Raw genomic sequence first — 23,348 nt, forward strand, 5'->3', positions numbered from 1 at the left:
ATATTGTAGAATGAAGTACATACAGAATCTTTTAAAACATGATTATAAATCACAGCTCATATAACAAAAGGTACCGTCTTAACAACCATGAAAGCCAATAAACAAAACACTGTAGGTGTTCAACAAATGATCAACAAACATTTGTTAAATAATTATTCCAAGCTATAAAGATTTAAGGAAAACATACCTTAAAGAAAAAAACACTAAGGTTTCACCAACTCCTTGAATGAAAACTTGATATTCCACAGAATGTTAAACTTTCTACCAATGTTGGCCCTATATCTAACCTTGAAGGAAAGAGAAATAAGCAAAAAAACCTTTCATTCAACTAGGATGGTTTTATAAACCTCTTTATTAAAGACAAATGAGTGAAAAGATCAACCAGTAATCCAACAACCCAGGTTTCAATCTAGGCTCTAACATTAATTATTTGACTAGCGGACCATCTTCCTCACCAGCCATATAGGGGCGGTTTGATGAGCAAATAGAAGGATATATAGGAAAGCACTCTGAACACAGTAAAGCACTATACAAGTGTGCTTACATAAAACGGCAGGATTGTTAAATTTATATATATTCAATACTTGAAAAATCATCCCAGGAATCATCTACTTTGTAAATAAAATAATTTTGTACTAGGGTTACATTATTTAGTGTCTGTTTCATAAGTTACCTATTTTATTGGTTATATTGGCAATGATCGCCAGCATGATATTCAGGGATTTTTTTTTCCTTTTCTTTCAAAAGCATTGTTGAGAAGATTAAATGGTTTTAATTCTCATTGTTGAGAAGATTAAATGATAAAGCCATTATCACAGTGGCTGACACACAGTAAGTGCTCTGTAAGTAGTGGCCATTACTGTTAAGGAATAAATGGTGGCTTATAATTTATTGCTGCCAAATTCTTTTTTTTTTTTTTGTTACCATTGGTAGTTTCTGGTGTTGGAAACTCAGTAAAAAGCTGTGTCTTTCATTATCTGTCACTTGTGCAGTGCTTTACTGTGCTCAGAATGTTTTCCTATATACACTTCCATTTGCTCATCAAACAACCCTATGAGACTGGTGAAGAAGGTAGAAATCCAGTCACAGAATTAATATTAGAGCCCACATTGACACCCGAGTTGTTTGAAAGAGGTTTATAAAACTATCATAGTTGGGTGAAAGGTTTCTTTGCTTATTCCTCTTTCCTTCAAAGTTACATATAGCGCCAGCATACTATGTAGGAAGTTTCAGTCTACTGAAATTTTACATCAATTATATAACTATCATCTTAAAAACAGCAGTTTCTTTAAAATACATACACACACACACACACACACACACATATATATACACACAAACAAAAAGATAAAGAAAAGGCTTTACCCAGCAATGAAGTGCCAGCTGTTTCAAAGAACATAATTTGGGTGAAATTTCTTAGGGGAGAAAGTAATCAATCAAACTGGAAATTGGCCATGATGTTAAAGCACATTTTACCAAAAGTGCTTTATTTATATTTATTTATTTATTTGTACAGACAGGGTCTCGCTATGTTGCCCAGGCTAGTCTTGAACCCTAGGCTCAAGCAATCCTCCTGCCTCAGCCTGTAAAAGTGCTGGGATTACAGGTGTGAGCCACCTCGCCCCACCAGAAGTGCTTTATTAATAATGGCCACATGCAGCCATAAAAAAGGATGAGTTCATGTCCTTCGCAGGGACATGGATGAAGCTGGAAACCATCATTCTCAGCAAACTAACACGGGAACAGAAAACCTAACACCGCATGTTCTCACTCATAAGTGGGAGTTGAACAATGAGAACACATGGACACAGGGAGGGGAACATCACACACTGGGGCCTGTCGGGGGGTGGGGGGCAAGGGGAAGGAGAGCATTAGGACAAATACCTAATGCATGCAGGTCTTAAAACCTAGATGATGGGTTGATGGATGGAGCAAACCACCGTGGCACATGTATATCTATGTAACAAATCTTCAAGTTCTGCACATGTATCCCAGAAGTTAAAGTAAAATAAATAAATAAATAAATAATAATGGCCACAACAATAACTGATTTCATATAAGCACAGCCTTCTCCAAAAACTAGAACTATGTTGGAAAATCCATTCTCAACTCCTTGTATTTACTCACTAGCAAATATTACCTATCTTCTGTGCTAGAATTCAAACCCTTAAAGGCTAGAATTGGGTTTCATCCACAATTCTGTAGTCCTAGCATAATTCATTGCATATGTTTCCCAGTAAGCATGTATTTATAATATATTTTAGTTTCTGATAGGCCCTTGATGTCAACTACCTTAACTTTAAAAATCATTCAACAGAAAATAATTTAGGTGAAGAATACAATATATTTCTTTTTTTTATTATACTTTAAATTCTGGGATACATGTGCAGAACCTCCAGGTTTGTTACATAGGTATACACGTGCCATAGTGGTTTGCTGCATCCATCAACCCGTCATCTACATTAGGCAATTCTTCTAATGCTATCCCTCCTCTAGCCCCCCACCCCGCGACAGGCCCCCGTGTGTGATGTTCCCCTCCCTGTGTCCATGTGTTCTTATTGTTCAACTCCCAGTTATGAGTGAGAATACGTGGTGTTTGGTTTTCTGATCCTGTGTTAGTGTGCTGTAAATGATGGTTTCCAGCTTCATCCATGTCCCTGCAAAGGACATGAACTCATCCTTTTTACAGCTGCATAGTATTCCATGGTGTATATGTGCCACATTTTCTTTATCCAGTCTATCATTGATGGGCATTTGGGTTGGTTCCAAGTCTTTGCTTTTGTGAATAGTGCTGCAATAAACATACGTGTGCATGTGTCTTTACAGTAGAATGATTTATAATCCTTTGGGTATATACCCAGTAATGAGACTGCTGGATCAAATGGTATTTCTGGTTCTAGATCCCTGAGGAATCACCACACTGTCTTCCACAATGGTTGAACTAATTTACACTCCCACCAACAGTGTAAAAGCGTTCCTATTTCTCCACATCCTCTCCAGCATCTGTTGTTTCCAGACTTTTTAATGATCGCCATTCTAAATGGCATGAGATACTATCTCATTGTGGTTTGATGTGCATTTCTCTAATGACCAGTGATGAGTTTTTCACATTTGTTGGCTGCATAAATGTCTTCTTTTGAGAAGTGTCTGTTCATATCCTTTGCCCACTTTTTGATGGGGTTGTTTTTTTTCTTGTAAATTTAAGTTCTTTGTATATTCTGGATATTAGCCCTTTGTCAGATGGACAGATGGCAAAAATATTCTCCAATTCTGTAGGTTGCCTGTTCACTCTGATGATAGTTTCTTTTGCTGTGCAGAAGCTCTTTAGTTCAATTAGATCTCATTTGTCAATTTTGGCTTTTGTTGCCACTGCTTTTGGTGTTTTAGTCATGAAGTCTTTGCCCATGCCTATGTCCTGAATAGTTTTTCAGGACATAAAACCTTGCCTAGGTTTCCTTCCAGGGATTTTATGGTTTTAGGTCTTATGTTAAAGTCTTTAATCCATCTTGAGTCAATTTTGTGTAAAGTGTAAGGAAGGGATCCAGTTTCAGTTTTCTGCATATGGCTAGCCAGTTTTCCCAACACCATTTATTAAATAGGGAATCCTTTCCCCAGTGTTTGTTTTTGTCAGGTTTGTCGAAGATTAGATGGTTGTAGATACGTGGTGTTATTTCTGAGGACTCTGTTCTGTTCTATCGGTCTATATGTCTGTTTTGCTACCAGTACCATACTGTTTTGGTTACTGTAGACTTGTGGTATAGTTTGAAGTCAGGTAGCATGATGCCTCCAGCTTTGTTCTTTTTCCTTAGGACTGTTTTGGGTATACAGGCTCTTTTTTGGTTCCACATGAAATTTAAATTAGTTTTTCTAATTCTGTGAAGAAAGTCAATGGTAGCTTGATGGGGACAGCACTGAATCTATAAATTACTTTGGGAAGTATGGCCATTTTCACAATATTGATTCTTCCTATCCATGAGCATGGAATGTTTTTCCATTTGTTTGTGTCCTCTCTTATTTCCTTGAGCAGTGGTTTGTAGTTCTCCTTGAAGAGGTCCTTCACATCCCTTGTAAGTTGTATTCCTAGGTATTTTATTCTCCTTGTAGCAATGGAATATACAATATATTTCTTAATACGCTGTACACTTTCACAGCTTCATTGGTTTATTTTAGTCAAGAAACACTTCGTTTTTAGCTATATTATATCATATAAATTTCAACTATCTGAAAAATGAGACCTAATAAGTGGCCACAAATGAGATCATAACAATATTATACAACTTGCCAAAGCTGTTCCTTAAAAATGCTAAGGTGTTCATGTACAATATCATCCTTGAAATAATGCTAAAACATCTGGGTGCAGTGGTTCATGCCTGTAATCCCAACATTTTGGAGGCCAAGGTGAGAGGATTGCTTTGGCCCAGGAGTTCGAGACCAGACTGGGCAACATAGGGAGACACCCCCTCTCTACCAAAAATTTAAAAATTAGCCAGACATAGTGGCACACCCCTGTAGTCCCAGCTACTTGGGAGGCTAAGGTGGGGGGACCACTTCAACCTGGGAGGTTGAGGCTGCAGTAAGCTATATCCACACCACTGCACTCCACCCTGGGCAACAGACTGAAACCCTGTCTCAGAAAATAAATAAATAAATAATGCTAAAACGATTTATACCTACAACTTAGAGACAAAATAGTCTGATAATATTTTTACAAACATAGTGTTCAAAATTATTGGAAAAGCAACGCCAGGTGTCAAATAGCAATAGTCAAATTTGAAGAAACATTAATTGAAAACATTTAAATAGACATCTTGAGAGGAGGTCGCGGCGCCGGAGGCCCCAGAAGGCTCGAAGGCGCCGCGGGCTGGGGTCGGTGGCTTAGGGAGCCCGTCCGGCCATGGTGGCCGCGGGTGGTGGTTGGCGCGGCTGCGCTGCGGCCCGGGGCAGTGCGGAGCCGGGACAGTCGCGGCGCTGACGCCCGCGGGCCCCAGCTGCAGATATGAAGCGGAGCCGCTGCCGCGACCGACCGCAGCCGCCGCCGCCCGACCGCCGGGAGGATGGAGTTCAGCGGGCAGCGGAGCTGTCTCAGTCTTTGCCGCCGCGCCGGCGAGCGCCGCCCGGGAGGCAGCGGCTGGAGGAGCGGACGGGCCCCACGGGGCCCGAGGGCAAGGAGCAGCCGCCTGCCTTGGCCTCCCAAAGTGCCGAGATTGCAGCCTCTGCCCGGCCGCCACCCCGTCTGGGAAGTGAGGAGTGTCTCTGCCTGGCCGCCCATCGTCTGCGACGTGAGGAGCCCCTCTGCCTGGCTGCCCAGTCTGGAAAGTGAGGAGCGTCTCCGCCCGGCCGCCATCCCATCTAGGAAGTGAGGAGCGCCTCTTCCCAGCCGCCATCACATCTAGGAAGTGAGGAGCGTCTCTGCCCGGCCGCCCATCGTCTGAGATGTGGGGAGCGCCTCTGCCCCGCCGCCCCATCTGGGATGTGAGGAGCGCCTCTGCCCTGCCGAGACCCCGTCTGGGAGGTGAGGAGCGTCTCTGCCCGGCCGCCCTGTCTGAGAAGTGAGGAGACCCTCTGCCTGGCAACCACCCCGTCTGAGAAGTTAGGAGCCCCTCCGCCCAGCAGCTGCCCCGTCTGAGAAGTGAGGAGCCTCTCCGCCCGGCAGCCACCCCATCTGGGAAGTGAGGAGCGTCTCCGCCCGGCAGCCACCCCGTCCGGGAGGGAGGTGGGGGGGTCAGCCCCCCGCCTGGCCAGCGTGCTGTCCGGGAGGGAGGTGGGGGGGTCAGCCCCCCGCCTGGCCAGCCGTGCCGTCCGGGAGGGAGGTGGGGGGGTCAGCCCCCCGCCCCGCCAGCCGCCCCGTCCGGGAGGTGAGGGGCGCCTCTGCCCGGCCGCCCCTACTGGGAAGTGAGGAGCCCCTCAGCCCAGCCAGCCACCCTGTCCGGGAGGGAGGTGGGGGGGTCAGCCCCCCGCCTGGCCAGCCGCCCCGTCCAGGAGGGAGGTGGGGGGTCAGCCCTCCGCCCGGCCAGCCGCCCCGTCTGGGAGGTGAGGGGCGCCTCTGCCCAGCCGCCCCTACTGGGAAGTGAGGAGCCCCTCTGCCCGGCCAGCCGCCCCGTCCGGGAGGGAGGTGGGGGGGGTCGGCCCCCCGCCCGGCCAGCCGCCCCGTCCGGGAGGGAGGTGGGGGGGTCGGCCCCCCGCCCGGCCAGCCGCCCCGTCCTGGAGGGAGGTGGGGGTGTCGGCCCCCCGCCCGCGCCAGCCGCCCCGTCCGGGAGGGAGGTGGGGGGGGGTCAGCCCCCCTGCCCGGCCAGCCACCCCATCCGGGAGGTGAGGGGCGCCTCTGCCCGGCCGCCCCTACTGGGAAGTGAGGAGCCTCTCTGCCCGGCCAGCCGCCCCGTCCGGGAGGGAGGTGGGGGGGTCAGCCCCCCGCCTGGCCAGCCGCCCCGTCCGGGAGGGAGGTGGGGGGGGGGGGTCAGCCCCCCCGCCTGGCCAGCCGCCCCGTCCGGGAGGTGAGGGGTGCCTCTGCCCGGCCGCCCCTACTGGGAAGTGAGGAGCCCCTCTGCCCGGCCAGCCGCCCCGTCAGGGAGGGAGGTGGGGGTGTCAGCCCCCCGCCCGGCCAGCCGCCCCGTCCGGGAGGGAGGTGGGGGGGGGGTCAGCCCCCCTGCCCGGCCAGCCGCCCCGTCCGGGAGGTGAGGGGCGCCTCTGCCCGGCCGCCCCTACTGGGAAGTGAGGAGCCCCTCTGCCCGGCCAGCCGCCCCGTCCGGGAGGGAGGTTGGGGGGTCAGCCCCCCGCCCGGCCAGCCGCCCCGTCCGGGAGGTGAGGGGCGCCTCTGCCCGGCCACCCCTACTGGGAAGTGAGGAGCCCCTCTGCCCGGCCACCACCCCGTCTGGGAGGTGTGCCCAACAGCTCATTGAGAACGGGCCATGATGACAATGGCGGCTTTGTGGAATAGAAAGGCGGGAAAGGTGGGGAAAAGATTGAGAAATCGGATGGTTGCCGTGTCTGTGTAGAAAGAAGTAGACATGGGAGACTTTTCATTTTGTTCTGCACTAAGAAAAATTCCTCTGCCTTGGGATCCTGTTGATCTGTGACCTTACCCCCAACCCTGTGCTCTCTGAAACATGTGCTGTGTCCACTCAGGGTTAAATGGATTAAGGGCGGTGCAAGATGTGCTTTGTTAAACAGATGCTTGAAGGCAGCATGCTCGTTAAGAGTCATCACCAATCCCTAATCTCAAGTAATCAGGGACACAAACACTGCGGAAGGCCGCAGGGTCCTCTGCCTAGGAAAACCAGAGACCTTTGTTCACTTGTTTATCTGCTGACCTTCCCTCCACTATTGTCCCATGACCCTGCCAAATCCCCCTCTGTGAGAAACACCCAAGAATTATCAATAAAAAAATAAATTAAAAAAAAAAAAAAACATTTAAATATCTACAATACTTCAGGTATTTTATTAGCTTCTGGGAATACCAAAGTGAATAAGACGGTCTCTGCCCTGTAGGGCAGATAAGTGTCTAGACAATTATACTACAATATATTTATTCTCCAGGAATAATTACATATACATACAGCCATGCATCATTTAATGACGGATATGTTCTGAAAAATGCATCGTTAGGTGATTTCATTGTCAGAACATCATAGAATGTATTTATACAAACCTAGATGGTACAGCCTACTACATACCTAGGCTATATGGTAGAGCCTATTGCTCTGAAGCTACAGGTGTACAGGATGTTACTATACTGAATGTTGCAGGTAATTGTAACACCATGGTAAGTATTTGTATCTAAACATAGAAAAAGTAGAGTAAAAATATAGTATCATTTTATGGGACTGTATATGTGGTCCCCCACTCACCAAAAATGTCATTATGGAGTGCATGACTGACTCTACATACATAGAATCAATATGATACCAAGGGGTGGAGGGATGGTAATCCTAGAGGGCTTCTTTGAAAAGTACCATATGGTGGCTTACGCCTGCAATCACAGCATTTTGGGAGGCTGAGGCAGGCGGATCACGAGGTCAGGAGATGGAGACCATCCTGGCCAACATGGTGAAACCCTGTCTCTACTAAAAATAAAAAAATTAGCTAGGTATGGTGGCACACGTCTGTAATCCCAGCTACTCAGGAGGCTGAGGCAGGAGAATCGCTCAAATCTGGGAGGCGGAGATTGCAGTGAGCCAAGATCGCGCTACTGCACTCCAGCCTGGCGACAGAGCAAGACTCCTTCAAGAAAGAAAAGAAAGAGAAGAAAGAGAAGAAAGAGAAGAAAGAAAGAAAGAGAAAGAAAAAGTACCATATGATAAAAATAATTCAGTGCTGACACAGCACAGGATTGGGATAAGCAGCAGGAAATGAAGCTAGGAAGGTAGTTTAGGGATAGATTATTATTATGGCCTTGAACACTATCCTAAGGATCTCAGCCTTTATTCAGCAGCCACTAATAGGACTCAATTTTTTTTTTAAATATACAGGGACCAACATAATCACATAGGTTTCAAAAAAGATAATGAAGATCATGTTAGTAGCATTCCAAAGGAGAGACCAATTTGTCCAATAGTTCATGACAGAAGTGATATGGGCTTCTGAACTGTAACTACATAAAAGGAAAAAGGATAGATTTAAGAGACAATCCAGAGAAAGGACATGAAGGAGGACTACAAATTAGAATCAAAGCTGAGACAATGACAGTTTCTAGCTGAGGTTCCAGAAAGGAGTTTATGCCACATACAAAGTAAAGAATATACAGATGCCAAGTTTGGGGAGGCAGAAATGGGTTTCAGAGATATACACAGAAATCTATGAAAAAGGAGTCTTAGAGACATGAAGGAAGTAGAGTTTCAATTTAAAAAGGGCCAAGAACATCAAATACTTTGGAGGCGACATCAACAGATGAGTGAGATTGGGCCACTGAGTTAAACAACTAGGATATTAGTTATCAGGCCTCACACTATAAAGGAAATAAAAAGAATACCTGCTGAAGTAAAGCCATTGCATGTAGAAACCCAAGCCAATAAACTCTAGACCAGCAGTTCACAAACTTTTTGGTCTTAGGATCATTTACACTCTTAAAATTTAAGAGTTTTTGTTTTTTGTTTTTCTTAATGTGGGTCATCTATCAATGTTTACTATATTAGAAATAAAAACTGATAAAAATCTAAATATATTAGTTCATTTAAAAAATAAATACATCACATATTAAATGACATATTTTTATTTTAAAAACTTATTATTTTCCAAAACAAAGATATTTTGTATGAAGAGTGGCATCGTATATTTTTGCAAACCTCTAACATCTGGTTAGTAGAAGACACCTGGATTGTCACATCTATCTCAGCATTCAATTTGTTGCAATATGTTGTTTTGGTCCAAAAATATTAAGAAAATCTGGACTCTCACAGATATACAGTTGAAAAGAGGTAAGTAGTTGAATAGCATTTTCAGATAACTATAGGTGTTATTCTTTGATACTACATAAAAACACAGTTGTTTCTCAAAGGTTAGTTGCAATATGAAATCTGAAACCACATCAATGAAGTTTTCAGTGTTCCCTTAAAATCTGTTGGTATTTTGTACTTTGATGGATTACCCATTACAGTTTTGTAAAATCATACATCGGTAACTAGGAACCATTTGTTTGCTGAGTTATGCGTAGCTTCCAAATGCTGACACATTTCATGGTGAAATATCAGAAATTATATTCATTGATACCACCACTAATCTTCTCAGAAAAGTCTTTATACACAGAAACTCTAAAGCTCATTGTTGCTACAAATTTTCAAAAATTCTAATTTTCACTTGAATGATTATCACTGGCAACATATAGTATCAAGTGTTTTCCTTGAAGTGATATATTTTTTGAATATATTCATTTTCAAGAAAATATATGCTAAATATCCAAGTCTGAATAACTATGGTATTTCAGGTAGTCTTTCAAGTAAAAATGATGCTCTATGACAAAAAGACTAGCTCTGCTTGCAAGACAAACTACACATGTGCTTTCCCTTAACCACTGTACTTTGGTATACAGTAGAAGTGCTTTATGTGTAGTTCCCATTTGGTCAGACAGAATATTTTTAAAAATATGAGATGTAATAAAATTAGTAAATTTTTCTGCTTCAAGGATATTCTTAATTCAAACTGACATTATTCTTACTGCATGCATGTACATGGTGGTGAATATTACAATGAAGATAGCAATTTGGTGCCACTGCTTTGATTCATGCTAAGGTGCTGGCAGTTTTACCCATCACTGCCTCTGCACCATCACAGTGAAAAAGGCAAATAACATCTTCAAATTATTATAAAAACAGTGTGAACCTCATAGAAAGCTTCAACTAAAAAGATCTCAGGGACTCTCAGTGTCCCTCAGACTACACTTTGAAAACCACTCTGATATCCAGACTACACAAACACTAATAATCACTTGTAAAATTTACCCATATACAATTAACCAGTGTGAGTCCTCTTACAGGACAAAAAACAAACAAGTAAGAAATCTCCTAGAATAAGGAGTCTCTGAACAACTAAATGGTTGCTAGAAAGGCTCCTCAGATAGACAGGAGGCGGCTCAGGAACCATGCATTTCTTTAAAAAGGACTTATGTAGATGGTCCTCAATTTTTTTCTCCCATTCCTACACCAAAAGTCTAGAAGAATCAGTGCCAAACCTCAAATTTGAAGACATAAAGCAAGTATGACAAGAAAACAACGATGCTGAAAAGATTTCTACCAGATGATAGTTGGTTTAAGCTTCTTTCAGAATGTGGATTTTATAGCTTACTTTTAAAAGAAGCTGAAATAACTCACTCTTTTTACCTAACCATAATAATAATACTGTGTTCAGTTATAAACAACATATATTTTTAATGAAGAAGTTCCACCTCTTCAGCCTACACATAAAGGAAAGATCTACTAACACTAAACCTCACATATAGAGCTTGGTACAGTTAAAGCGGTTCTAATTTGCAAAACTGTAAAATTTTAAAGAAACAAAAAAATCCATTTTGCTCACCACTGTATGTCTAGTATCCAACTCAGCCCTTAAATAAGATGCTCAATAAACATTTGCTGAATGCTGAATATTGAAATGGTTGATATGAAATGAGATATGAACCCAGGTTACCAAAATCATACTAGTGTAACATCTAGCACTCTTTCTACTATGTGAAATCTTTTTTATAGCTCTCTAAAATAACACCTATGAGAAACCTAAAGGACTGTTATAATATCCTCTAACAAAATGTAACATTACCTGTTACATTTGAAAGCCTGGTATGAACCATTTAGACCACAGTTTGAAACCCAAACCAATAATTCTATCATTTTCATTTCTAAATATTTGCTATCTGAATTAAGCAATATTAAGTAACTGTCCACTACTAGATGAAGTACCAATAAGACACCAGTCTTAAATTAATCATCACACATTGATTATCACCCTCATACAGACTATCCTTAATATTTAATATTTCATTTTCTCTGATGACTCAGAATTTTGTTTTTTTGAGACAAGGTCTCACTCTGTTGCCCAGGCTGGAGTGCAGTGGTATGATCACAGCTCACTGCAACCTCGAACTCTGGGGCTCAAGGGATCCTCCCACTTCAGCCTCCTGAGTAGCTGGGACCACAGGCATGCACCACCACACCCAGCTAATTTTTTTAATTTTTAGTAGAGACGAGATCTCACTGTGTTGCCCAGGTTGGTCTCAAACTCCTGGCCTCAAGAAATCCTCCTGTCTCAGCCTCCCAAGGTGCTGGGCTTACAGGTGTGGGCCACTGGGCCAGCCAAGAATGATCCTTAATTTCCTAAAGTTTCTTGCATTTATATTTGGGACATTTCTTGCCTTATAAGAATCTTCAGATAGGCTGGGCACAGTGTCTCACTCCTGTAATCCCAGCACTTTGGGAAGCCGACGCAGACGGATCACCTGAGGTCAGGAGTTTGAGACCAGCCTGGCCAGCATAGTGAAACCCCATCTCTACTAAAAATACAAAAATTAGCCTGGTGTGGTGGCGGGCACCTGTAATCCCAGCTACCACAGAGGCTGAGGCATGAGAATTGCTTGAACCTGGGAGGTGGAGGTTGCAGTGAGCCGAGGTCACGCCACTGTACTCCAGCCTGGGCGACAGAGCAAGACTGTCTCAAATTCTGCCTCAAAAAAAAAAAGAGAAAAGAAAAGAAAAGAAAAGAAAAGAAAAGAAAAGAAAGAAAAGAAACTTCAGATATAAAGACTGTGCAGCATCTTGAAAATAATGTGTCACCGTGGCATTTTGTTTCCTTTTAAAAAATTTCCTGTCAGTTTGACATTTACTACTGTTTCTCTCACAAAAGCACAATGTAAAAAATTTTGGAGTGAGGGGCTGAAAAATGACCTGTTGGGTATAACGTTCACCATTTGGGTAATGGGTACACTGGAATCCCAATCCCACCACTCTGCAATATACCCAAGTAACAAACATGCACATGTACCCCAAAATCTAAAATAAAATTAAAACTTGAGGAACTGAAGCTACAACAAATCATTTTATTTTGAAATACATGCCATGAATGTAACTTCGTTCTCTAGAAAGACATGACCTACCATGGATATAGCCAAAGGAAATGGGCTTCTGTTGCATAAAGAATTTGAACTTAATATTATTTAAAGAAAAAAAATTATATTGCCAATAAAGACTTTAAAGGGGCCGAATGGTGGCTCATTCCTATAATCCCAGTTCTTTGGGAGGCCAAGGTAGGAGGATCACTTGAGCTCAAGAGTTTGAGACTAGCCTAGGCAACATAGAGATCCCCCATCTCTACAAAAAATAAGAAAATTAGCCACACATGGTGGTGTGCATCTGTAGTTTCAGCTACTTGGGAGGCTGAGGTGGGAGGATTCCTTGAACCTGGGAGTTCGAGGCTGCAGTGAGCCTGGATGATGCCACTGCAACCCAGCCTGGGCAACAGAATGAGATCTTATCTCAAAAAAGAAAAAAGAAAAAAAGAAGACTTCAAAGGTAGAACAAGGACTCAATCTTCTCTGCAGGTCTAAAAAGAAAAAAGTTTTTCAAATGTCTAGAATGGCTTAGACTTGGCCTAACATTTGGCAATGAGGCAGAATCAGTTCAAAGGTCAGTCTGACCCAAAGGATTCAAATCCCATCTGTGCGTCACACAAACAAATCATTAGCAAACTGCATCCTTCTGCTCTGCAGCTATCCAGTCTTGGCTTTAGTACTTGCCAACCTTACTCTGGAAATTACCCTGTTCATTAATAAGTCAATTATGGAGAATTATTTCTTCCAACTACTGAAACTTTTGCTTCTCAACACCGTTCTGCAGTCCTTTAATCTTGTTTTTTTAACATTACCAGAGAGGAAAAATATTAATATTCTGTGATGCAATCAATATCTTCTCTAGTAACAATACCCTGTTCCACACTGTTCTATACAAACACAGATTCTACCCTGAATTTCAGAAACCACTAGGAAAATAACAGATAACAGAGAAATTAGAGCTCTTAGGTTTAACTTAGAGCCAAAATCAAAAGAGAAGAGAATTCAGAGAGAGGAAGGAAGAAGCTGAGAGGGTCGTGGTGTAGAACACTTACTTTCAGGAACACAGTGTCCCTTAGATTTCTGGTGAGTTGCCCAGAGCCTCTTCAGTTTCAATCCAAATGACAATGCTTCTCTGAGTCCTCCTCAAGTAATGTTTCCACCACTAAAAATTGGATCTACAAGAGCTTAGATGTACTGGTAAAAAAAAAAAATGTCAGGGGCCCCCATGTGGGCCTCAAGCCTCTTTTAAACTAGGCCCACTTCTCTGTCCTGGGCCAACTCCCCTGTGTACTATATTCCTTCTTCTTCCAGGTGCCAGGTATTCAGCCTGTTTCTTCTCTTCTGAGCTGCCACCACCTACTCTATTTCTCAGGGTTCCTCTAACCCCAAGACTGGCTGTGGAGTAGGACACCAGCTTCCCCCCTTCCTTGCTGTCCCTGCAAATAAACATATAGGCTCTTCTAGTTTCAGTATTTTTCTAATGGCTACAAGAAAATAGAGAGGGAACAACAAAAAGCAATAATATATAGTACCAGAGATCAAGATTATAATTGTTTCCACTTTAATGTTCCTGCCTCCAAAAAACGAATTTTCTAAAAATTGCTTATTGAGCATTTTAAAAAGCACAAAGTACTAACACAGATACACAAATATACTCTAAACCAACTCCAACCTTACACAGCCAAGAAGATACTCTGCTTTTCAAAATACTTAAATCACAAATCACGGGTCCAAAAATAGTAACCACAATCATTTTAGCAAATACTTTTTTTCTTTTTGGAATGTTCTGTTGTAATCCCTTAAATTTAGCATACGTTTGAAAGTTTGCTTTTTGAATATGAAAAATGTACGAAATATTTTATCAATTGTGGGAATATACAAAAAGCATATGATGATTTACAAAAAACAAGCATGTCAAAACCAGCGAGCTTCACTGAGAAATTTTTCAGATAAGTTACTGTCAACCATTCCTGTCTCTAAATTTTAAACTTAATAAAATTCTGTAAAGTGTTTTTTAAAAAATCAAGATCTCATTTTTTAGAAATCTAACGTCTACTGAATATTTGTATATGTCAATATTACATGTGCCTTCTTTTTTAAAGCAACAGTAAGATTAGTATGCTTATTGTTATAGTTTAGTTTCTAATGGACTTTGTAATATCAAAATACATATCTTCTCTAAATATTAAGTAATAAATCACAGGATTATATTTAATTCAAAGGGTACCTTCGTATAAGAATCAAGGAGCTCGATAACTAAGTGCTGACAGATTAAGAATGCCACTGACTGAATTTCCTGGATGATTTTCTTTATTCACTTAATTCAAAGTCATTTTTTAAAAGACAGAGTTATTATACTGCAAGCTTACAATAAATAAAGTCTGAAAATAGGCAGAGATCTTTTCATCTCATTTGTCTAAGAGACTGCCATTTAATCAAACTAAAGATATAAAGGTACTTTCAGTAAAAATCTGTTCCTGTGACTGGGCTCATCTCCAACTACTTATTTATAAAATATTAGAGTACTGGAATAAAAACACTAAATAAAACCTTGATCTGACCCTTCCAGAAGTACATGTAGAAAAATAAGTTTTAATATATTGTGTATTCTGCAATCAGATACTTTTCTTTCTTTAGGAACGAAATTAAATTACATCCTTTGCTCCTAAAGAGATTTTATGGGTTTTCCTTGATCCCCACACACTAACACAACAATGCAGCCAACATTTTTATACCCAGAATGGGGAGAGGGGCATTACACCCAGCGATACGAATTAAATCGCAGTAGCTAATGCCTCCCTTAAATAATTTATTCTCTCTTGGCAGCAAAAAACGTTACAGCCTCTTCAATTACCCCTCACCGCAAACCATCGCCTGGGTTGCGATCAATGTGACCCAGTTCCTATCGCCACAGCCACCTCCGTCTGCCTCCTCCCGCCGGGTCCGCCAGTGTCATGGGAGGGGGCGGCAGCCGCAAGGGCGTCCTCTGGTCGCCACCCCGCCGGCCGGCGGCGCGAGGGGCAGGCCCGGGACTCACCGGGTGGAGGTGCCCTTCCGCACATCGCACATCATGCACTTGAAGGCCTCGGCGCTGTTCCGGAAGGTGCAGACGCTACAGTCCCAGTAACCCTCATCCGAGGACGGCTTCGGCTGCCGCTTCGGCCTGCAGGACACAACCCGGACACGACGCGGCGCGGGGTCACCAGCAGGCCGCGCCCGGTGCCCGGGCCCCGCGGCCGCCCCCGCCCCGCCCCCCGCCCCAATTCTGCGACCCCCGCCCCGCGGGCCCTCGGCGCGCCGCGCTCCGGCTGAGGGGGAAGGGAGTCAGGAAGAGGCAGGGCGCGAGCGCGGCCGCAGTCGCCGCCGCCACAGCCGCTCTGACACCCGGGCGGCCGCTCCGGTCGCCGCCGCCATCGCGGCTCCATTGTGGGGCGGCCGGCGCCGGCCCCCTCAAGCGGCAGCACTCGCACACCAGCGGCGCTGCCCCCGTGCTCGCCCCGGTGCCCGGGCGGCTAGCGAGGCGGCCACCCGAAGCCCTGCACGAGGGCCCTGCCGCCCGCACAGTCCGGGCCCCGGGGCCCGGGCGCTGTTACCTGGTGGGGCTCTTCTTGTCTCCCATGGCTTGGCTATCACCGCACGCCGAGAGTCGCCGCCGCGACCGCTCTGTTTGTCAATAAGGAGGATAATAAGCCGGGCGGAAGCGGGCGGGGGAGGAGGGAGGGAGGGGGCGGGGAAGGCCGCACCGCCGCGCTCGGGAGCCGCCGCCGGATCCCACGCAGCCTCCAGCTGTCGGGGAAACTCCTGCCTGGGCGCACGTGACCCTCGCCGGCCAACCAGCAGCCGCGCCGGAGACTTCAAACGCGGCCAGCGCGGCCCAGCACCCGCGGCGAGTTAGCCGGCGGGCGGTGCGGGGGTGGCCGCGGTGGCCGCGGCTGCCTCGGGCGCCGGCGCCGCCTCTCCGCGCTGTTCCCCCGTTGCCCCCTTGGTACCCCCGGCTGCCGGGGACTGCCTCGCGCTCCAGAGCCCCTCTGAGGAGGAAAACGTCTGTCCCACCGACTGGCAGGGGATGCTCCGTCATCCCGTGCGAAGCCTGGTCCAAGGTAGGGCCGGCCGGCGTTCGGAGGCCTGTCCAGGTCTGGACAGAAGTGCCAGCCCGGGATCTCCAGGTAGAACGACTTTCCTGGCCTCCGCTGTCCTTAGCTACCCAGCCCCCGCCTGCAGTATACCGGGGGGAAGGCGGGAACCAACACGCAGCGCCATTGCTACATGCCTTAAAGCACTGTCTGGTTTATGCACACAGATGCTCTAACAAGTAGGGATTGTCAACCCTAACTTAGAGGAATTGAAATCAAGACTCAAGAGAGATTAGGTGACTTCCTCTAGGCTATATAATTAGAAAATGACAAAGCCAAGAGTCTAACTCTGTTTTAATTCCAAACGCGCCCTTTTGGCCTCTCAGGCCTCTGCAGTAGCTGCTTTTGAAAGAAACCCCTATATACTCATAAGTCCTTTTTAAATATAAGGAGTTTGCATGTCCCCTCAACGCTGTCTGCTAACAAAAGAACACCTTCCCAGGTCTCTACGTCAACATACTAAAGGTCCTCATACTCCAGACTCCAGCAACAGCCATCTAACTGGTCTCCGAAGCTCCACTTCTACCTCCCCAATGTATTCAGTAATCCACAACCAGATTAATAATAAAATGCTGTTAATACTATGCCACCACTCTGATAAAGAACCACTAACGACTTGCCCACACTCCTTAGCCTGGCATTCAAAGGCTTCACACATTTTCCCTACCTCTGCCTCCCTCTCCCATAAGGAAAGCTGCCTCCTGACAAAGAGTGCAGATGAAATTCATTCCCTTACCAGAACCCTTCCTTCATGCACATGGGTTACTTCTGCATAAAGTATATCCCTCTTTAACTGTGCTGTTTCTGTCCATCTTTCTAGGTTTACATCAAGTCCGAATTCATGTAAAATAATTTTATAGCTAAACTACATAGGAAATAATACAGTCAGAAGCCCAGGATTCTCAGCCTGCTTCTCCTGTTTCTTAGCTGATAGACCTTGGAAGTATTGCTTAATTTCTGTAATTCTCAACGTTTTCATATTCTGAATTGCATCTATATGAGATTGTTGTGCGATTAATAATAACATTTTTTGGCCGGTTGCGGTCGCTCACGCATGTAATCCCAGCACTTTGGGAGGCCGAGGCGGGCGGATCACCTGAGGTCAGGAGTTCACAAGACCAGCCTGGCCAACGTGGCGAAACCCCATCTCTATTAAAAAATACAAAAATTAGCCAGCTGTGGTGGCGGGCGCCTGTAATCTCAGCTACTCGGGAGGCTGAGGTAGGAGAATCGCTGGAATCCGAGAGTGAGAGGTTGCTGTGAGCCGAGATCGTGCCACTGCACTCGAGCTTGGGCGACAGAGCGAGACTCCGCCTCTAAGTAAATAAATAAATAACATTTTTTTGAGCACTATGTGCCAGGCACTTTGTAAATCCCTGCGCATAGATGCATATTTTAAAGGACTCAAAGTACTATGCACATGGCCTCATCGACTGCAGATGCTCTTCGATTTAGAAAGGGGATACTTCCCGATAAATCCACCTTAAATAGAAAATATTGTAAATTGAAAATGCATTTGGTACACCGATAAATCCATCGTAAAGTAGAAAAATCGTAAGTCGAGCCATTGTAAATCCGTAGTCTAGCCCTTCTTTTTAAAGACAAGGCAATTAGGGCCCAGGTTAAATGGTTTTTCTTTGATGAGCAGGCCAGGGTTAGAGCTCAGGTATCCTATTGGTCTTTCACCGCATCTTCTTTCTGATTAACCAAATCACTCCATTTACATAGCAGTCTCTAAACTCGTTGTACCATCTGTACTTTTTGCAAATGTAGCTTCTCATGATTCAGACCCAAATTCGGAAACCAGGAACCATGAGGAGTATGATTGAGGCACGTATACAAGAGAACCAGATTTAAGGCCTAGTCTTTAACCTCTCAGTAATGCAGTGGGTAAACTCAGCTAAGTTTTTTTCATATGTAAAATAAAGGAGTTAAAACTATTATCACAACTAAGGTCCCTTGCAAGTCTAAGGCATTGTGATGTTTTTAAATGCCTCAACTGGATGGATCCTCAAATAGACTGACAAGAACTGCTCTACTTGCAAAAGTGATGGCAACAATGTATTTTTAAATAAAAAGGAAACTAAATCAAGCACTCTAAAAATCCCCCATGCTGCAAATCACCATTTCACTAGATTGTAACCTCCCTCACTAAAAAGTAAGCCGCACCTCTGAATCATGAACAAAAAGCACAATAACTTTTGTTGCCTTTATTGCTGCATCTCCAGCCCCTAGAACAGTGTGACACATAGTGGGCACTCAATAAATATTCTGAGAATAAATACATCCACTTATAGTCAGGTTAGCGCGCGCCTGTATTCCCAGCTACTTGGGAGGCTGAGGCAGGAAGATAACTTGGGCCCCGGAGTTCCAGACCAGCCTGAGCAACAAAGCCAAGACCCTGTTTCTAAACTAAATAATCAATACATTCACTTGTGTTACAATTGTTGAATGAGATTTTTTTCTTTCATATTGGGATTTACAAACTGTTAGGCATATTGCATGCAGTGGATGGTCAATAAATGCCAGAATTAACATTTATCCTTCAAAATGAACTTTACAACTCCACACATCCTTGTCGATGAACCAGGAACCTAGTTTTTGTGGAGCACAGAATCATATGCCCTTGCACTATACCAACTGCCTCCCATTTATGGGTGTTTCTCTTAAAAAAAAATCTCTGCCCCTACTAGGCTTACGTGGAGACAGTAGTACAGGAGGTACTCCTCCCATTTCACCACAAAAAGTCACACCTTTCCTAAAGTGTTTACTAGCTGTAAGAGTGGCTGTTGTGGAGAAAACAGATCTTTTTATTACTAAAGTGGCCCAGGTTCTTACCCAATCAGGTGTCTTTTCAATACAGTAACAGAGTTCAGTACTTTAGAAATGTTAATTCATTACGGTCACTTGTAAAGTGACAAACACTAACGATCGTTTTAACAATTTAACAAGTGTTGAAGTTTTCTGATGATTTACTTTTTTTGTTGTTTGTTTGTTTTTTTGTGTGTTTGTTTGTTTTTTTGTTTTTGTGTGTGTGTGTGAGAGAGTCTCACTCTAGTGCCTGGGCTGTAGTACAGTGGTGTGATCATAGGTCACTAAAGCCTTGAACTCCTGGGCTCCAGCGATTCTCCTGCCTCAGCCTCCTGAAGTGTTGGGATTCCAGGCATGAGCCACTGTGCCTGGCCTTACCTTAATGTTTAAAAGGTAAATGAGGGCAGACCAGTGGCTCATGCCTGTAATCCCAATACTTTGGGAGGCCGAGGTGGGCAGATATCTTGAGCTCAGGAGTTCAACAATAGCCTGGGCCATATGGGGAAACCCTGTCTCTACAAAAAATACAAAAATTAGCCGGGTGTGGTGGCATGCACCTGTAGTCCCAGCTACTTGGGAGGCTGAGGTGGGAGGATCACTTGAATCCAGGAAGCAGAGGTTGCAGTGAGCCAAGATCACACCACTGCACTCTATCCTGGGTGACAGAATGAGGCTCTGTCTCACAAAAAAAAAAAAAAAAAAAAAAAAAAAGTAAAGCAATCTTTACTTTCCCCAGTTACTGAGGAAGCTGAGAGCTGAGGCAGGAAGGATCACTTGAACCCAGGAGCTGTGGGCTGTAGTGTGCTATACTATTCGAGTGTCTGCACTAAGTTCGCCATCAATATGGTGACTTCCCAAGAGTGAGGGGCCACCAGGTTGCCTAAGGAGGGGTGAACTGGCCCAAGTCAGAAACTGAGCAGGTCAAAACTCCCGTGCAGCGCTGGGCGCAGTAGCTTACACCTGTAATCCCAGCACTTTGGGAGGCTGAGGCAGGCGGATCACCTGAGGTCAGGAGTTCAAGACTAGCCTGGCCAACATGGCGAAACCCCATCTCTACTAAAAAATACAAAAATTATCCAGGCGTGGTGGCACGTGCCTGTAATCCCAGCTACTCGGGAGGCTGAGGCAGGGAGAATTGCTTGAACCTGGGAGGCAGAGGTTGCAGTGAGCTGAGATTGCGCCATTGCACTCCAGCCTGAATGACAGAGTATGACTCTGTCTGAAAAACAGAAACAAAAAACTCCCATGCTGATCAGCTGTGGGATCATGCCTGTGAATAGACACTGCACTCCAGCCTAGGCAACATGGTGGGGACTATGTCTCTATAAAATAAATAAATTAAAATTAAAGTAATCCCTAGGCTATTGATATAATAATATCCGTTTCCATTCCAATATGCTTCCTAGGAGAGACTGGAGTAGGTACTGAAATTGTGCATGTGATCCTGTTTACACGTGAACAGTAATCTGTTCTTTCTGGAGATGAATAAAAAGATTGAGAGTCTGTCGTAGATCAAGAGACTGACAGTGTGGGCGAGGTGCAGTGGTTCACACCTATAATCCCAGCACTTTCAGAGGCCAAGGCAGGAGGGTCTCTTGAGCTCAGGAGTTCAAGACCAGCCTGGGCAACATAGCAAAACTTCATTTCTACTAAAAATAAAAAAAAATTAGCCTGGTGTGGTGGTGCATGTCTGTAGTCCCAGCTACTTGGGAGGCTAAGGTGGGAGGATCATTTGAGCCCGGAAGGTCGAGGCTGCAGTGAGCTATGATAGTGCCACCGCACTGCAGCCTGGGCAACAGAGTGAGACCCTGTCTCAAAAAATTAAAAATAAAAAAAGGAGACTGACAGCAGGATCTCAGAGACCCTAGATCTTCTGGTTAGTCTTGAGTTTATTAGCCAAACATAATAAAAACAATAAAAACTACGTATTGATGTTGTATATAGTTATTAGGCAACAGGAGCTAATACCTGAAATGAGAAGTACCATCTTGTTTATTAATTGGAATTTGAGAGAAAATGGGGTACCTAAGGGAGAAATGAGCTGTAAACCTTCCCTGAGAGCAGGAGCTCAAAGTATAATAGTAAGCTACAGTGGTAAAACCAATCACATTTTGAAAGATGGATTTTGTGGTTTTTGTTTGGTTGACTGGTATCTAATTTTGTTAGTTATAAAAGTTATATGTCACCAGTTGTACATTATTCGTTTTTTAGGGTGCCATAACAAAGTACTGCAGACTGGGTGGTATAAACAACAGAAATTTATTTGCTCACAGTTCTGAAAGTTAGAAGTCTGTGGTCAAGATGTCAGCAGGGGGCCAGGCACAGTGGTTCACACCTGTAATCCCAGCACTTTGGGAGGCTAAGGCAGGCAGATCATGAGGTCAGGAGATCGAGACCATCCTGGCTAACACGGTGAAACCTCGTCTCTACTAAAAATACAAAAAAAATTAGCCAGATGTGGTGGCAGGCGCCTGTAGTCCCAGTTATTTGGGAGGCTGAGGCAGGAGAATGGCGTGAACGTAGGAGGCGGAACTTGCAGTGAGCTGAGATCACACCACTGCACTCCAGCCTGAGTGACAGAGCAAGACTCCATAAAAAAAAAAAAACAAAAAAAAAAAACAGATGTCGGTAGGGTGATTTCTTCTGAGGCCTCACTCCTTGGCTTGTAGATGACTTGCTCTGTCTCAAGTAGTCTTCTCTCTGTGTGTGTCTGTGTCCTAACCTTCCCTTCTTATAAGGATACTAGTTATTGCATTAGGGCTATCCTAATGACCACATTTTAATTTAATCACATCTTTAAAGACTCCAAATACAGTCACATTCTAAGATACTGGGGGGTTAGGACATTAACATACGAATTTTGGGGGAGGGAAAGCCACAGTTCAGCCCATAATACTGGTGTCAAGTTCAGCAAATATATATATATATGAATTAACATATCCAGTGCCTTGTTATAACACTCCTGGTACAGGTTCACAATCCTTATCTGAAACCCTTAAAGCTGGATATGTTTTGTAAGTAAGGCATTTGGGAATTTTCAAAAGGCAGTTGACACAAATACTACATAATTACCCAACACTCTGAGTGGGTTCTGAGATAGTGCCTCTTAATCAAACACACTAATATTTCTGAAAAACATAAATATTCATACTAAGTGGGAAAATTAATGTCTATAAATCATCTCACATCAGTTCTACTCAGGTTTTGCTGCTAAATGATAAAAGGTCAGGTAAAATATAAAGCTTTCAGGCCAGACGCGGTGGCTCACGCCTGTAATTCCCAGCACTTTGGGAGGCCGAGGCGGGCGGATCACGAGGTCAGGAGATCGAGACCATCCTGGCTAACACAGTGAAACCCCGTTTCTACTAAAAATACAAAAAAATTAGCCGGGCGTGGTGGCGGGCACCTGTAGTCCCAGCTACTCGGGAGGCTGAGGCAGGAGAATGGCATGAACCCGGGAGGCGGGGCTTGCAGTGAGCCGAGACTGCACCACTGCACTCCAGCCTGGGTGACAGAGCGAGACTCCATCTCAAAAAAAAAAAAAGCTTTCAATTTTCAGTTCTTCTTGGAGTATGGGATTATGGACAAAGGATTATGGATCTGTAAGAATTTGAGTAAGAATTAAGATTACAAAGATTAAGATTTAAAATATCCACATTATTTGACACAGTAATTCTACTTTGAGGAATATATCCTAAGGATACAACCTGAAATGCATGAAAAGTTTTTCACAGAAATAGCCATGAAATTATTTTAATATACATTGAAAACAACCTGCATGGTCATCTGAAGAGAAATAGTTAAATAAAATATGATCTAACCAAAGAACTGGATTTTAAGAAGTCATTAAAAACAATGTTGATGAATAATTTGTA

The 23,348-nt window shown here is 44.3% G+C and overlaps 1 protein-coding gene and 1 long non-coding RNA gene across 20 annotated transcripts in view, besides 7 other annotated features; one reads left to right on the plus strand and one right to left on the minus strand.

Annotated features, from left to right (window-relative positions):
- YAF2 (YY1 associated factor 2) overlaps positions 1 to 16,216 on the minus strand; it is an 81,145-nt gene extending 64,929 nt beyond the window's left edge. For 9 of the 19 annotated variants that reach the window (NR_135139.2, NR_135140.2, XR_944467.4 and 6 more), the window contains exons 1-2: positions 16,123 to 16,216; positions 15,567 to 15,692 (exon numbers count right to left, since the gene is read on the minus strand). Coding sequence is in view for 11 of the 19 variants with exons in the window: in NM_005748.6 (NP_005739.2) it covers positions 15,567 to 15,692; positions 16,123 to 16,148 (152 nt within the window). In the remaining 8 variants the exon portion in view is untranslated. Of the gene's footprint in view, positions 1 to 9,189; positions 13,966 to 15,383; positions 15,539 to 15,566; positions 15,704 to 16,122 lie in introns of those variants that run through there. The other 10 variants (XR_007063026.1, XR_001748538.2, XR_001748537.2 and 7 more) reach the window with 6 other exon arrangements.
- Positions 15,342 to 15,671: a silencer, noted in NCBI's record as "silent region_4359". NCBI's record gives its function as "represses an Ori minimal core promoter by ATAC-STARR-seq in GM12878 lymphoblastoid cells {active_cell/tissue: GM12878}" and the evidence as "EXISTENCE:reporter gene assay evidence [ECO:0000049][PMID:35858748]".
- Positions 15,342 to 16,008: a biological region, named in NCBI's record as "H3K27ac hESC enhancer GRCh37_chr12:42631341-42631842".
- Positions 15,507 to 16,008: an enhancer, noted in NCBI's record as "H3K27ac hESC enhancer chr12:42631341-42631842 (GRCh37/hg19 assembly coordinates)". NCBI's record gives its function as "activates a minimal SCP1, AML or CMV promoter by ChIP-STARR-seq in naive H9 embryonic stem cells {active_cell/tissue: H9 hESC(naive)}" and the evidence as "EXISTENCE:reporter gene assay evidence [ECO:0000049][PMID:30033119]".
- Positions 15,792 to 15,861: a silencer, noted in NCBI's record as "silent region_4360". NCBI's record gives its function as "represses an Ori minimal core promoter by ATAC-STARR-seq in GM12878 lymphoblastoid cells {active_cell/tissue: GM12878}" and the evidence as "EXISTENCE:reporter gene assay evidence [ECO:0000049][PMID:35858748]".
- Positions 15,962 to 16,341: a silencer, noted in NCBI's record as "silent region_4361". NCBI's record gives its function as "represses an Ori minimal core promoter by ATAC-STARR-seq in GM12878 lymphoblastoid cells {active_cell/tissue: GM12878}" and the evidence as "EXISTENCE:reporter gene assay evidence [ECO:0000049][PMID:35858748]".
- Positions 16,392 to 16,631: a silencer, noted in NCBI's record as "silent region_4362". NCBI's record gives its function as "represses an Ori minimal core promoter by ATAC-STARR-seq in GM12878 lymphoblastoid cells {active_cell/tissue: GM12878}" and the evidence as "EXISTENCE:reporter gene assay evidence [ECO:0000049][PMID:35858748]".
- LOC124902920 (uncharacterized) lies at positions 16,413 to 17,246 on the plus strand. Its single transcript, XR_007063279.1, has 2 exons — positions 16,413 to 16,695; positions 17,105 to 17,246. It is a non-coding gene; the product is annotated as an uncharacterized LOC124902920 (long non-coding RNA).
- Positions 16,822 to 16,961: a silencer, noted in NCBI's record as "silent region_4363". NCBI's record gives its function as "represses an Ori minimal core promoter by ATAC-STARR-seq in GM12878 lymphoblastoid cells {active_cell/tissue: GM12878}" and the evidence as "EXISTENCE:reporter gene assay evidence [ECO:0000049][PMID:35858748]".
- Positions 17,247 to 23,348: the final 6,102 nt, after the last annotated feature.

This window comes from Homo sapiens, chromosome 12, assembly GCF_000001405.40.
Source record: "Homo sapiens chromosome 12, GRCh38.p14 Primary Assembly".
Classification (NCBI taxonomy): domain Eukaryota; kingdom Metazoa; phylum Chordata; class Mammalia; order Primates; family Hominidae; genus Homo; species Homo sapiens.